This window comes from Homo sapiens, chromosome 10, assembly GCF_000001405.40.
Source record: "Homo sapiens chromosome 10, GRCh38.p14 Primary Assembly".
In the NCBI taxonomy this organism is placed as follows: domain Eukaryota; kingdom Metazoa; phylum Chordata; class Mammalia; order Primates; family Hominidae; genus Homo; species Homo sapiens.
In genome coordinates this window covers 15059866-15075410 of record NC_000010.11, presented here as the reverse complement: position 1 = coordinate 15075410, position 15545 = coordinate 15059866, and the positions used below count along the sequence as shown (strand labels likewise).

General features: G+C 41.7%; 1 protein-coding gene and 1 long non-coding RNA gene across 6 annotated transcripts in view, besides 1 other annotated feature; one reads left to right on the top strand and one right to left on the bottom strand.

The window, feature by feature from the left end:
* Positions 1–15545, top strand: part of ACBD7-DCLRE1CP1 (ACBD7-DCLRE1CP1 readthrough) — a 73705-nt gene that overhangs the window by 13366 nt on the left and 44794 nt on the right. Inside the window, exon 3 of the long non-coding RNA NR_144471.1 lies at positions 3828–3878. This is a non-coding gene — a long non-coding RNA (ACBD7-DCLRE1CP1 readthrough). The remainder of the gene's footprint in view (positions 1–3827; positions 3879–15545) is intronic.
* Positions 1558–15545, bottom strand: part of OLAH (oleoyl-ACP hydrolase) — a 41659-nt gene continuing 27671 nt past the window's right edge. For all 5 annotated transcript variants that reach the window (XM_047425423.1, XM_024448060.2, NM_018324.3 and 2 more), the window contains 5 exons: positions 13549–13687; positions 10909–11008; positions 9658–9827; positions 3534–3616; positions 1558–2324 (listed from right to left, as the gene is read on the bottom strand). In XM_047425423.1, coding sequence (XP_047281379.1) covers positions 2182–2324; positions 3534–3616; positions 9658–9827; positions 10909–11008; positions 13549–13687 — 635 coding nt within the window. In that variant the 3' untranslated portion in view covers positions 1558–2181. The remainder of the gene's footprint in view (positions 2325–3533; positions 3617–9657; positions 9828–10908; positions 11009–13548; positions 13688–15545) is intronic.
* Positions 2834–3034: a silencer, noted in NCBI's record as "peak869 fragment used in MPRA reporter construct". NCBI's record gives its function as "represses an SCP1 promoter by STARR-seq MPRAs in K562 erythroleukemia cells {active_cell/tissue: K562}" and the evidence as "EXISTENCE:reporter gene assay evidence [ECO:0000049][PMID:32103011]".

Genomic DNA, 15545 nt, shown 5'->3' with positions numbered 1-15545 from the left:
CTTTTAAAAATCGAGGTTGATTTCTCATCGGGAAAATTTTGGCAATCAAGATAATTCTCATCTTTCTAAATTTCGCCTAATGATAGACGTCTTCCACGATGATACCAAGGCCTAATTCCTTCAAAGAGAAGACATCATCAATGATAGACTTGGTGTCTTACAGTTGAGGGCTTGAAAACTCCTGAAAGTTGTTCCCATGTGGACTTTACCTCCACCAGGTAGAGATGCAGGGGAAAAAGCTTACCCCCAAAGCCTGGCATTTGTTCCATCATGAAACTTCAGTTTGCAGACTATACTGACTAAACATTTTTCAAATTAATAATCACGAATCCTAATTATTATTATTATTTTTGAGACAGAGTCTCATTCTGTCGCCAAGACTGGAGTGCAGTGGCATGGTCTTGGCTCACTGCAACCTCCACCTCCCGGGTTCAAGTGATTCTCTTGCCTCAGCTTCCCTAGTAGCTGGGATTACAGGCGTCCGCCACCACGCCTGGCTAATTTTTTTGTATTTTTAGTAGAGGTGGGGTTTCGCCATGTTGGCCAGGCTGGTCTTGAACTCCTGACCTCAGCTGATCCGCCCGTCTCAACCTCCCAAAATGCTGGGATTACAGGCGTGAGCCACCATGCCCGGCCTCCCAATTACTTTTATACCAATCTTTCAGTAAGGGAACCCTGGAAATAGTATCAAATTAAAGGATAAAGTACAACACATACTACAACATAATTTGCTTAAGACTATTTGTAGCCTAAACTCAAAGTGCCTCCCCCAAATAGTTAATTTTATATTTTTTGTACTTTGTTTAAAAAGAGTGATAAATTTAGGAAAATACCACCTGTATGCATTTTCCTTAATCTTATTTACTAAGACCTTATGTACTTTTTATTTTTGAGATAGGGTCTCACTCTGTCACTCAGGCTGGAATGCAATGACATGATCCTAGCTCACTGCAACCTTGACCTCCTGGGCTCAAGCGATCTTTCAGCCTCAGCCTTCCAAGTAGCTGGGACTACAGGTGCACGCCACCATGCCTGGTTGATTTTTAAAATCTTTTGTAGAGACAGGGGTCTCCCAAACTCCTGACCTGAAATGATCCTGCTACTCAGCCTCCCAAAGTGCTGGAATTACTGGTGTTGAGCCACTGAGCCTGGCTCCTATTTCTGCTTTTCTTTTTCTCTTGGTTCCTGTTTACTTCCAGCTGTTGTGCTTTCTCCCTAAGTCAAGTTCAAGTTATTGCTGAGTGAGGCTGAGGCAGCCTCTTAGGTGTGAGATTTGTGCTTGGCCACTCCCTTTGTCACAGGCAACACTCTAGATTGGTTGTCCACTGGGGGGACGATCCAGGTCCCAGCCAGACATGCCAGGGTGGCAGAGCCCCCCAGTAAGTGGTGTAGAATAAACTCCTTAGAGGGGTGGGGTATAGGCATTCTGACGACTTGCCTGCACAGGTGACAATAATTATTTTGGGATCTCTTTTAACAAAGCAGTAGGTTACATTTTCTTACTATGTGGGGCTATTCTACATTTGAAAAAATGAGATCAAGCTTTGAGACACGGTATGCCATTGAAACAATCATTTACTTCAAGCATTTCCCCTGTTAATCATCTTCACCATTAAACTAACTGAAGGAAAAAATGGATAATTTACTAATCATGAATTTTGTCGACAAACTTCCCATAAAGGAGAATCAAGTGAGATTTTAATAGGAAGATAAAAGACTCTGCCAGAAGTATTTTTTTTTTTTTTTTTTTTGAGACAGAGTCTGGATCTGTCACCCAGGCTGGAGTGCAGTGGAGCGATCTCGGTTCACTGCAAGCTCCACCTCCCAGGTTCACACCATTCTCCTGCCTCAGCCTCCCGAGTAGCTGGGACTACAGGTGCCCACCACCACGCCCGGCTAATTTTGTGTATTTTTAGTAGAGATGGGGTTTCACGGTGTTAGCCAGGACGGTCTCGATCTCCTGACCTCGTGATCCGCCCGCCTTGGCCTCCCAAAGTGCTGCCAGAAGTATTCTTTACTGGCTTGACCTTTGTCCCCAGATACGTAAATATATTTATGTAACGAATCTCCCTGACAGTAGAAAATGTGTAATTTCCAATCTGAATAAAACTGAGCTATATCTGAATAACTGAGAAGAGTATGATATTACTTTGATTATTTTAAAAGTGAAAGGGAAAATATCTAAAAATTGGATATCGATGATACTTCTAGACACTTGATTATGTAGTTCTTGATTAATTTCTCGTTCGCAGGATCCAGAAGATAAAAGTGACCCCCTGGAAGCTGGTAAATTTTAGCATTTCCACTGGTTACATCTTTCCAGGCTGAAAATAAACAAGATTGTATTCAATAACAACACCAACAGCAACTAAAGATTCACATCAAGACATCATTTCTTTAAGAGCTGACACCCTGAAGTACGGTTACTTTCAAGGCCTTATGTTCTAGGTGATGAAGCAGGAGCATTGCCATCTTGGACAAGCCCCTCATTCTAAAGTTTACCTTAATCAAAAACCACCTAAATCCAAAAGGCATCATCAGCCTAATGGCTAAGGTCACCATAACCATAAACCATAGATAACATCTCCAACCAGAAACGTTCCAAACTCCTCCCTGACCAGAGACATGTTAGCCCCAAGATAACCCCCCTCTGGCCAGGAAGATGACGGCCTCGAGATAACCTTGCTTCCGGCCGCCAGAAAGATGTCTGCCCCAAGAAAGCCTCCCCTCCTCCCAGAGACATTCCAACCCTACCATAAAACTTCTCGCTCACACAGAAACATTCCAAGCTTGTAATAAGCCCCTCACCCTAAAACCAATATATACTCTTCATCTGTAAGAGAAAGTGCTCCTGATGGAAGTCTGCCAGGAGCCCCTCTCAGGTTTTATCTAAAGAAAACCTGTCTTTGACTGTTAAGCTGCATTTTGTTTGTCTTTCCTCTTTCTTTAACTCTTACACTAGGTGTCCTGCATTTTTTATTTCTTTGAGACCTATCAGTATACAGCAGTTCTCTCATTTTACACAAGACCAACATCTCTCCTTTTACACTAAATACAACTTCAACTAATTTTTTACTCATTGCAGTAACTACTAGTTGACATTGGTCAAAAATCATCGAACGTAAATATATACACCTACTATGTACCCATAAAAATTAAAAAAAAAAATTTTAAAAGCTGGCCAGGCATGGTGGCTCATGCCTATAATCCCAGCACTTTGGGAGGCCGAGGCAGGCAGATCATGAGGTCAGGAGTTCGAGGCCAGCCTGGCCAACATGGTGAAACCCCATCTCTACTAAAAATACAAAAAATAGCCGGGTATGGTGGCCGGCACCTGTAATCCCAGCTACTCAGGAGGCTGAGGCAGGAGAATCGTTTGAACCTGGGAGGCGGAGGTTGCAATGAGCTGAGATTGCGCCATTGCACTCCAGCCTGGGTGACAGGGCGAGACTCTGTCTCAAAAGAAAAAAAAAAATTTTAAAGCCATCAAACATATATTTCAATACAATACTCGAGACTAAAAATAATTTCACCTTCCATGTCCTTTGCTATGTCTTCAGATCCAACAAAACATGTCAAGTCACAGGAAAGAACAGCCTTAGATGGTACGTTAGAGCTATAAACATAAAAGAGCTGGTTAGTAATTGTTTGAAATCAACATCCCAGAATCTTTTCCTGTTCCTAATGTCAATGAAACTTGGGGTGGGTTCACTTCTTTTCTTTGGCTACTCTAGCAGTGTAAAACATTTTTCACCAATGGCACTTCTACCTGTCAAAGCCTGCCTGAGACTCAGTGTGGAGACTAATTTCCAATATCTAACTTCTAGGATGTGACACGTGGCAGCAGGATGGCACTGGGGCACACAGTTCAACTCAAGGTAAGGCTGGTGGAACCAGTCCTTTAAACTGTCATCAGAAACGAAGACCTCTTTAGTAACTCTTAGCTCTCCTTGGCCCAGCAGAGGGTTGCTCTGCACAGAACCTCACAACAGCAGCAAACGTGTTTATTGAGTCAGAGGCTCAGTGCTGCACTAGACACTAGGGGCACGTGGAGAAACAAACACAGTCCCTGCCCTCTTGCAGCTGAGAGACTGGCTGGGAGAGAGACATTACAGAAACAATCATTCAACTAGAGAGAGATGGAAGGTGCTATCAAGTCCAGGGGGATGGAGAACTGTTGGCAGGAGGGAGGAGGTGGGGACAGGGTCAAGGCAAGTCTCCTGGGAAAGGGGAGAGGATCTGAAGCCTGAATGAATAGAGAAGAACCAGTCAAAGGGCATAGAGCCAGCAGGGAGAGAGGGAAGAGAAAGACAACAAATTAATGGCTAGGTCAGGTGTGATGGTTCACACCATAATACCAGCACTTTGGGAGGCCAAGGCAGGAGGATCACTTAAGGCCAGGAGTTTGAGACCAGCCTGGGCAACATAGCAAGACCCCATTTCTACTACATAAAAAAATTAGCCAGGTGTGGTGTCATGTACTTGTAGTTCCAGCTACTCGGGAGGCTGAGGTGGGAGGATCACTTGAGCCCAGGAGGTCAAGGCTGCAGTGAGCTGTGATTGCACCATTGCACTCCAGCCTGAGCAACAGAGTAAGATCCTGTCTCAAAAAAAAAAAAAAAAAAAAAAAGTTCAGGCGTGGTGGCTTACGCCTGTAATCCCAGCACTTTGGGGGGCCGAGGTGGGTGGATCACCTGAGGTTGGGAGTTCAAGACCAGCCTGACCAACACGGGAAACCCCGTCTCTACTAAAAATACAAAACTAGCAGGACATGGTGGTGCATGCCCGTAATGAGCTACTTGGGAGGCAGAGGCAGGAGAATCCCTTGAACCTGGAAGGCAGAGGTTGCGGTGAGCCAAGATCACACCACTGCACTCCAGCCTGGTCAACAAGAGCGAAACTCCATCTCAAAGAACAAAGCAAAACAAAACAACAACAACAAAAAAGGCTATTGTTCAGAGAACAAAGTGGAGTATTGGGACAAATTAAGGTATAAGAGGTATGCAGGTATAAGTCTAGTTGGTTGTCCTAAGAGTGAAAGGAAGTCACCAAAAAGATCAAACAAGGTACACCATGATCAAACTGGACTTCTATCCTCTGGATAGAGTGTGGATAACGGATCGGAGGGGGACCAAGTGTATGTGATAGGCCCAAGTGAGTGGGACTTGCAGTAATCCCAGCAAGGATTTGCTCCTGCCTGGAATGTAAAAAAGCAGCAGCACCCCACACTCCATCCTAACAATGAGAGGAAAAAAAAAAAAAACAGAGAAACTGCAGCATCATGACTTGTCGTGAACTCAACAGAGAGCTGTGTTTGCAAGGCAAGTTAGAAATCAAATTCCAAGGAAGACAGACTCCCACTACAGAGAGATGGGGCCAGTAGACAGGGTCAGATGGCACAATGTCCAGGCGGAAGAGGTATCTGCTGTACATGCGATAAGACTCAAATCAGCCGAAATTTTAAAGTGTTGGAGACACAGTGAGAACGGTGTGTTAGATGGAGTTCCCACTGACTCACAGCCTCTTTTGTCTTTTTTTGTTTTTTTAGATGGAGTCTCGCTCTATTGCCCGGGCTTGAGTGCAATGGCGTGATTTCAGCTCATTGCAACCTCTGTCTCCTGGGTTCAAGTGATTCTCCTGCCTCAGCCTGTCGAGTAGCTAGGATTACAGGTGTCTGCCACCACATCCAGCTATTTTTGTATTTTTAGTAGAGATGGGGTTTCGCCATGTTGGCCAGGCTGGTCTCGAACTCCTGACCTCAAGTGATCCGCCCGCCTTGGCCTCTGAAGGTGCTGGGATTCCAGGCATGAGCCACCGTGCCCAGCCATGCAGCCTCTTTTCCATGGGCCTCCACTAGGGGTTGACGAGAACAATTAGGAGTGAGGCGAGAGGCTAGAGAGACACCTCCACAGGGCAGTTAGTTAGCTGTGGCAATTGGACTGGCACTAGACTGCCACCTGACCAGGTCTGCTCTCATTGTAAGCAGAAGCCTTAAGCTGCTGGAAGAGGGGCATGAAACCCTCTCGCCACCAGGGTGCAGGTGAAGCCCTGTGGCTGCTGCAGGGAGGATAAAAGCATAAGCCCTCTACCCCTGAGGAAGGGATGAGAAACAATTCTACACCAAAACCAAGCAGAGTTCTGCTGCTTGCAGGAAGGGGCAGGAATCTTCCACCAAGGCAACCACAGATAGAAGGCAAAAATGTGTTTGCAAGAGAGAAGGAGCAGGCATGCTGAGAAAGCCCCACTCACAGAACCCAGGCACGGGGACGCTACCTAGAATTCATGCTTCAGACTATCTAGATGTCCAGGAACTCCCTGTGTTACCCACAGGCTAACATACATTGAGTAACAAGCAACAGCTGTCTACATTGGGGAGGGCAACAGGAGGAAGAGAGGCTGTTCTATGAGTCACAGGGAACATTGAACGCCAAGGGTAGGGCAGGACTGCTGAGAAAAGGTCTGGAACAACTGCATCCCACACCAGACACATAGCAGAGGATTATATACCAGAGGATTTGAGAGCTGGTGGTGCACTCAAGGTCATCACAGCAACAACAAAACCCTACCCAGCTCAAGCCCAGTCTAGACTAACTCAATTCCCCACACTAACGGCCTGTCAAAAAGCAGAGACGTGTTCAAATTCAGGTGTAAAACATTACCTTCAGTCTCTACTGTTTTTATGCATGATAACTGGCTTTTGATTTTATAAAATTATCACTGGGCACGGTGGCTCATGCCTGTAATGCCAGCACTTTGGGAGGCCGAGGTGGGGTGGATCACCTGAGGTCAGGAGTTCGAGACCAGGCTGGCCAACATGATGAAACCCCGTCTCTACTAAAAATACAAAAAAATTAGCTGGGTGTGGGGGCACGTGTCTGTAATCCCAGCTACTCGGGAGGCTGAGGCAGGAGAATTGCTTGAACCCAGGAGACGGAGGTTGCAGTGAGCTGAGATCGCGCCATTGCACTCGAGCCTGGGCAATAAGAGCAAAGCTCCATCTCAAATAATAATAGTAATAATGATTATCAGACACACAAGAAAGCAAGAAATAACCCATTGTTAAGAGGCAAAGCAGTCAAAAGAATCAGACACAGATAAGACCCAGATGTTGGAACTCTCAAACAGGGACTTTAAAATACATAGGATTAATTTATCAACAGATTTAGTGGAAAAGGTGGCTAACATTCATGAACACATGGGGAATTTCATTAGAAAGGTAAAAACCAGAAGAGAGTCAAATGGGATTTCTAGAAATAACAGAAATGAAGAAGTTCTTTGACAGGCTCATCAGTAGACTTGATACAGCTGAAGAAAGTCAGCGGCCTTGAAGACAGTCAGAGGAAATTATTCACACTGAAACACAAAGGAAACTTTAAAAAAAGAAACAAAACAGAACTTGCAAGAGATTTGGGATGATATCAATTATGAAACACCCTAGTGTATGTGGCATCAGGATCCCAGAGGAGGAACAGTAACAATAGTCCGAAGCAAGAGAGGAGGACAGATTATATGAGCTGAAGTAGTCACAGCTTCTGGCACTTCTCGGCTGACAATTTCCATTTTGGCCAGTAGCTCTGAGCTTTAGTGGTAGTGATGGGGAAAGAGAACTGGAAAAAACTCTGTAGGCCTGATTTCATTTGTATTGGAAAAAGCAGGGAGATAACGAGGACGTGGGAGAGATCAGATTGAAAAGGAGAAGGTGCAGGAGGGCAGGATTTGGAAGAGTTTTTGAAATTTGGAGAGAGGACGTTAAAATTTGTGAGTAACTACTGCAATTTGGCTCACTGGAGAAAGGGTGAGAATGTCAACATTTTCTACATTCTGTGAGTAGAATATCCCCATGAATGATTTATGTTAATGTGTTACTTCTGGTGTTTTGGAGGTTTCTTTGGAGTGAAAAAACTCATTGGTTGTGAGTTTTTTGGTTGTGTTTTGTTTTTTAAAAATAGCTCATGGTTTGTTGTGTGCCAGACGCTCCCCTCTACCAAGCAGTTAATTCTCACACAACACCTTGAAAGGTGCTATTCTTATCCCTTCTTTGATGAGATGAGACACAGACCGTTAAAGAAACTTGCTCAGAATCTCGCAGTGAGTAAGACACAGGGTTTCAGTCTGCTAAGCGGACTCTAAAGATGGCATGTTTCACCATTGTGCAAGGCTTAATTATTAAAAGCCAGCTTTTGCATCCATGATTGCATTGAATGTCCATGGTGATTTGGATTACTTCTCAGTTTTTTCAATTTTGTTTTAAATTCGCAAATAACAATTGTATAAATTGGTGAGGTACACTGTGATATTTTGATATAAGTATACATTATGGAAAGATTAAGTCAAGCGAATTAACATATCCATCACCTCATATACTTAACTTTTTAAAATGATGTGCACAGGTAAAATCTACTTTCTTAGCAATTTTGAAATACACATGTGTAGTCACAGTGCTGTGCAGTAGATCTCAAAAACTTAGTCCTTGCTGAGCACAGTGGCTCACGCCTATAATCCCAATACTTTGGGAGGCTGAGGTGGGTGGATCACCTCAGGTCAGGAGTTTGAGACCAGCCTGGCCAACAAGGTGAAAACCCGTCTCTACTAAAAATGCAAAAGTAGCTGGGTGTGGTGGCGGGTGCCTGTAATCCCAGCTACTCGGGAGGCTGAGGCAGGAGAATCGCTTGAACCTGGAAGACGGAGGTTGCAGTGAGCCAAGATCACACCACTGCACTCCAGCCTGGGCGACAAAGTGAGACTCCATCTCAAAAATAAATAAATAAATAAATAAATAAATAAATAAATAAATAAATAAATAAAATAAAAATAGGAAAGATTATTGGGGAAGGATTTACAGAGTATCAGGACTTCAGTTCTATCAGAAGAATCAAGTGTCTATACAGACATCCCATGAGACAAGGGAATGGAGAGATATTCATAGAACTTAATGAGTTCTGGAACAAAATGTACAAAAAAGCAAACCTAGCAAATTTCTCCACACTGGTTTGCCTCCACACTTACAATAAGTAACAATCTATTTCTGCTGACCCTTCTAAGAAGATGAAAATGCTTTGGCATTAATTTATTCAACAGATATTTACTATGTTATTATGAGATAAAATATACATGTCTAATCATATATTTTTTAAAGAAAAATACATGCTAGACTTTTTTTTTTTTTTTTTGAGATGGAGTCTCACTCTGTTGGCCAGGCTGGAGGGCAGTGGTATGATGTTAGCTCACTGCAACCTCCGCCTCCTGACTTCAAGTGATTCTCCTGCCTCAGCCTCCCAAGTAGCTGGGATTACAGGTGTGCACCATCACATCTGGCTTATTTTTGTATTTTTGGTAGAGATGGGGTTTTGCCATGTTGGCCAGCCTTGTCTTGAACTCCTGGCCTTAAATGATCCACTGGCCTTGGTCTCCCAAAGTGCTGGAATTATAGGCATGAGTCACTGTGCCTGGCCATGCTAGACATCTTTTACAGATACAATTTCTGTGCCTAGGCTCCATTCTAAACCAGTATACATACCATAGGTGGCCCCAAAGGAAATGAAACCAAACTCTTAGAATTTTGTCTTCCCACATAAGCAACCTCAGAGCACTGCCAATCTATGTTTTTCTACAAATAATTGTACCAAAAAAAGAAAAAACCTTGTTTCTGTTACTTACGTGCAACTTCTAACAATGTTCAGATCTGCCCTTATGATGGGACTACATTGTTTCACAAATTCCTTGGCTTCAGCAAAATGCTTGGGGGTGCCTCCAAATTCCATAAGGTAATGACTTATTTGTTCTTCTGACAATTCATCATCTTTGGGAATGCGATGCCAGGCCTTTGACTTGAAACATGAACAACAACACAGGCCTGATATTTCATATAACACACTTGGCTCATAAACTGAAAACTGTTGATCTAAGGGAAAAGTCATTAAACCAAGGCTGGGAAGTAGACTGCTTTATCTATAGGCTTCAGGAAAGAACTATGTCGTTTTGAAAGTAGGGAGAAGAAGGCTCATCAGTAATAACTACAGCATCATAATGCCACCAAAATGGCTTTGTAGATTTAGAATCCTGGGACAGGCAGGATCTTTCTCCAGATGAAGTGGGAAAGACCAAAGAGGTAGGAGGAAGAGCAGCAGGAGCAACAGCACCAGGTTTAAAAAGCCATGGTAGTCCTAAGAACTTGACATCACTGTCCCCTTTTAACATTTCAAGGAGTCTTTCCTGGTTCTGATCCAGTTACTTTGCTCAAAGTTGGTTAAGTTCCCAGCTGACCCACAATGAAGGAAAAAGCACTATGGTCAGCATTAGCTCAGAGACGCCAGGAATAGTACCAGTAGGAAACAGCTGAAGTGCATTTCAGGGAAACAGAGAATGATATTGAAAGAGATTTAAGGGACTTTTCAACAGCAAGTATTAGGTTGGTGCAAAATCAATTGTGGTTTTTGCCGTTGCAAGTAATGGCAGGCTGGGTGTGCTGGCTCACACCTGTAATCCCAGCACTTTGGGAGGCTGAGGTGGGTGGATCACCTGAGGTCAGGAGTTCAAGACCAGCCTGGCCAACATGGTGAAACCCCATCTCTACTAAAAATACAAAATTAGCTGGCTGTGGTGGTGCTCGCCTGTAGTCCCAGCTACTCAGGAGGCTGAGACAGGAGAATCTCTTGAACCCAGTAAGCAGAGGTTGCAGTGAGACAAGATCGTGCCACTGCACTCTAGCCTGGGCAGCAGAATGAGACTCCATCTCGGAAAAAGAAAGTAGTGGCAAAAACCTCAATGGCTTTTGCACCAACCTATTAGTATCCCCACCATCATCATCATACTGGACCAGAATTCACCAGATAGAGAAATAATGGCTTATTTTTATCCCCATTTCCCTGCTCTCCACTGCCCTTCCTAGGAAAAAGCTAAATTACTTACATGTACAGGAGTTGCACTTGACAAAAATAAATGCAATGGTTCTGGTTGATTGTTTTCTTTTAGACCTAGTGCAGTCCTAAAAGCAATGTAGGATCCCATACTAAATTCAGCAAAGAAAAACATGACAAGAACTGTTAAGCAAAACTCGTGATGATCCACCGAAAGTCAAAAGGAACAGTATCATAAACACAACAATGATCATGTAATAGATGAAAGGAAAGTGTGAGTTGATTAAGAAGTCTATCTTTTCAGTGATTTAAATCAGCATAAAAACTGTTTCAAAGACAGCCTAGATAATTCACTCTAAGATTTAGTACTGATTTGCACAGTGTCTTCAAATTAATTTAAATTTCCTTTTCTTCCTTAAAGGTGTGTATCACTGTGTCTTTAACAGTATATATCCGCAGTTCTCAAAATACGGTTTAGGGACCCCTGGAAATTTCTGAGATCCTAATGGATGGTCCATGAGGTCAAAGCTATTTTCAGGATAAATACTAAAATGTTATTTGCCTTTTTTACTCTAATGAATACACAGTGGAGTTTTCCAGAAGCTATATGACATGTGATACAGCAACAATTTGAATGCAGAGACAGAAATGAGAATCCATCTGCCTTCTATTATGTCAGACATTAAGCAGATTTGCAAAAGTATCAAATGATGCCACTCTTCTCACCTTCTCACATTTTTTTGGAAAATATAGTCTTTTTCATTAAAATATATTGTTTATGTCAATGTATAATAGGTTTGTTAATGTTATTTTTAGGTAAGTTAATAAACGTCTTTAAAATTTCTTAGTTTTTCCTTTCAGTATGATAAATATCGCCAGATATATCACATATAAACAAAAGCTCTTTGAGTTCCTCAATGCATCTTAAAAGTATAAAGGGGTACTGGGATTGAAAATGTTGATATTATGTAAATACATTTGGTTGACAAAACTGCCAGAGGTTGCTTATTTGTAAATTGCACATGTATATATTTTCTGAAAGAAAGGGAAACTCAGCACCATGTTCATTGCGCATGGAGTGTAAAGTGCAGGTAATTTGGAAATATATAGCAACAACTTCTACAGGCTGGATGCAGTGCCTCGTATCTGTGATCCCAACATTTTGAGAGGCGGAGGTGGGTGGATCACTTGGGCCCAGGAGTTGGAGACCAGCCTGGGCAACATGGCGAAACTCCATCTCTATAAAACATCAGTGACAAGAAATTAGCAGGGTGTGGTGGCATGCTCCTGTAGTCAGCTACTTGGGAGGCTGAGGTGGAAGAATCACTTGAGCCTGGCAGACAGAGGTTGCAGTGAGCCATGATTGCACCACTGCCCTGCAGCCTGGGTGACAGAGCAAGACCCTGTCTTGAAAAGAACTTTAACAATGTGCATATTGTTTAACATAAATTCTGAGAATTTATCCTAAAAAACTGATAGGAGATTTATACTAAATTTTCTATAAGAATGTTCATTGGGCTGGGTGCCACAGCTCACACCTGTAATCCCAGCACTTTAGCAGGCCAAGGCAAGTGGATCACTCGAGGTCAGCAGTTTGAGACCAGTCTGGCCAACATGGTGAAACCCCAACTCCATTAAAAATATAAAAATTAGCCAGGTATGGTCGTGTGTGCCTGTAATTCCAGCTATTTGAGAGGCTAAGGTGGGAGGATTGCTTGAACCCATGAGGTGTAGGTTGCAATGAGCTGAGATCGTGCCACTGCACTCCAGCGTGGGTGACACAGTGAGACTCTGTCTCAAAAAAAAAAAAAAAGAATGTTCACTGGACTATTGTTTATAACAGAAAAAGATAGAAATAGCTCATATCCACAAAAGGAGGTTAATCAAACAAATCATGAAGCAATGTATACTTACAGGATGTGAAAGATATTTATGGCAATAATATAAATATATTTAATTTAATATTACTATAATATAAATATTATAGCAATAAACATCTTTCACATCCTGTGAGTGTACATTGCTTTTAAGTGAAAAAGATCAAGTAAATATATAAAACCAGACCCCATTGTGTAAAAATACTAAGGAACTACATCAGAATTTTAAAGCATTGTTATCTGGGTAGTAGGATGATGGATACTTTTTATTTTTCAATTTCTGCTTGACCATATTTGTAAATCTTATATAATAGCCAAAATTTATTGATTCCTTACTATATACCAATTTATTTAAGATCACTATTCATTTAAGCCTCACAAATGGGAACTATTGTTATTGTACCCTTATAGAAAAAGGAACTAACTCAGAAGCCTAAGAAATTTTCCCAAGGTCATACAACTGATAAGAGATAGCCAGAACCCCAGGGTCTCTGACTTAACCTCAGAATTATACAACGTAGCTTAAGAAACATATACTCTTTGCATAATTTCTTATTTCAAAAATAAATAGAATGTAAGCTGCTGTTAAAGTCTTGGTTTTACAAGTGTTGACTTTATTTGCCTAAAAGGAAAAAAAATAGGTATACTTACCATACAAACTGGTGAATTGTAAAAGTTGTGATGGCCATAATTACCTAACATGCTGTCTAACCAATACAAAGGTATGCATCTTACAAAACACAAAGAATAACATTAACCTCAAACTTCAGATAGAAGAAACTCCCCTGAAGTCTTTTAAAACAGATATCAAATACCTGTGGCCAAAAAATGCAAATGGTTTATCCTGGATGACTGGCTGCAGAGCACAAACAACTTCATCAACTAACTGGGAGATGTCATTTTCAAGAGGTTCTTCAACTCTGCTTTCTCTTCCAGGAAGCCTTAAGGAGTGCACTGGAGATGGAGAAACACAAGTGAACACGCACAGACAGTGAATGAGATATTGTGATGTTATAAAAGGGCTCATATTTACCTGATGGAAAAAATTTCAAAGAAATGAATGATAACAGTTAAGTCCAGCAAGGTAAAAGTTTTAGAATTTGCTGATAATAAAAGCAAGAAGATAAAATATAGCAGACTAAGAATCTGCTCACAATAAGATAAAGGGAACACCTAGAAGAAAAAGAAAAAAAAAAACAAAGGAACTGAAAATTCCATTGATGATCATGTGCTGATGAAATGCTTACCCCAACAACCGTTACCTATATCAGGAAAATAAAACATCAGGTTTCAAGGGTGACCTAGAGGGTCAGGAGATAAGGCACTGGAATGCATTAAATTTGAGAGTTAGAACTGAGTCCTTTACACAAAGCTAAGAAACCCTAAATTCTAGACCCTCTGTGAAAAAGTAGACTACAAATAAAGTATTTATTCTCCAAATGGCAAAGGAGAAAAGAAGAACTTTCTGATTTTGCCTTGGCTCTGGATGGGGGAAAAAGTCTGCCCTTAGATTTTTTTAAACAAAGCCTTGTATTTATGCAAATTTGAAGTTTATTTATGTTATCTTGGTAGACTGGAGTGCAGGTAACATAAATAAACTTCAAATTTATAGAAAGTGAAGCAGAAAAATAACTTGAAATGACCCTGGGCTAGTAGCACTTCAGGATGCCTAACAGAAACAATGACAAGTCATCTCCTAATGAATAAATACACAATCTAAGCATCTCCAGAATCAAACATCAAGCTGATCCCAAATAACTTATTGGCTTGCTTGCTAGAGCAAAGTCTAACACACTGTACAGGAATACAACAAAATCCAGGACCCAACAATGTAAAACTCACAATGTCTAACTTCTAATCAAAACTCACCAGACATGCCAAAAAGCTGGAAGGTATGACCCATAACAACTCCAGGGAGAGCATCAAACGTAAGAAACAGAAGAGAAATAACAAAAGATGGAGTCAGCAGACAAGGACCTTAAACGGTTATTAAATACAAATGTGCTCACTAATGTGAATGAAAACATGAACATGATAAGAACAGAAACTAAAGATTTTTAAAAGACCCAAATGGAACTCGTAGAGATGTAAAATATCTGAAAAATTTTTAAAAACACCAGATGGGATTAACAGCAGACTAGATACCAAGAAGAAAAAGATCAGTGAACTTAAACATAGAAAAAGAAACTATCCACAATTAAGCATGTTGGCCAGGCATAGTGGCTCACACCTGTAATCCCAGCACTTTGGCAGGCCGAGGTGGGCCGATCACTTGAAGTCAGGAGTTCAAGACCAACCTGGCCAACAGGGTGAAACCCCATCTCTACTAAAAATACAAAAATTGGCTGGGCGTGGTGGCATGCACCTGTAGTCCCAGTTAGTTGGGAGGCGGAAGCAGGAAAATCACTTGAGCCTGGGAGGCAGAGGTTGCAGTGAGTCAAGATCATACCACTGCACTCCAGCCTGGACGACAGACTGAGACTCTGTCTTCAAAATAAAAAAAAAGAAAATTAAGTGTAGAAAGAACATGACAAAATAAATGCACAGCTGATGAGTACACTGTGGTACACTATAAATCGATCTAACATAGGTGTAATTGGAGTCCCAGAAGGAGAGAAGAGAAGAGGGAAACAGAAAAACATTTGAAAAAAAATAGTGGCTGAATATGTCAAAATTTGAAACTTACAAAGTCGTAGATCCAAGAAGTTCAAGGAAACTCAAACAGAATAAACAATGAAAACCACACCAAGGCTTGTCCATCAAATTGCTAAAAACACTTGATAAAAAGATGATGTTAAAAAGCAGCCACAGA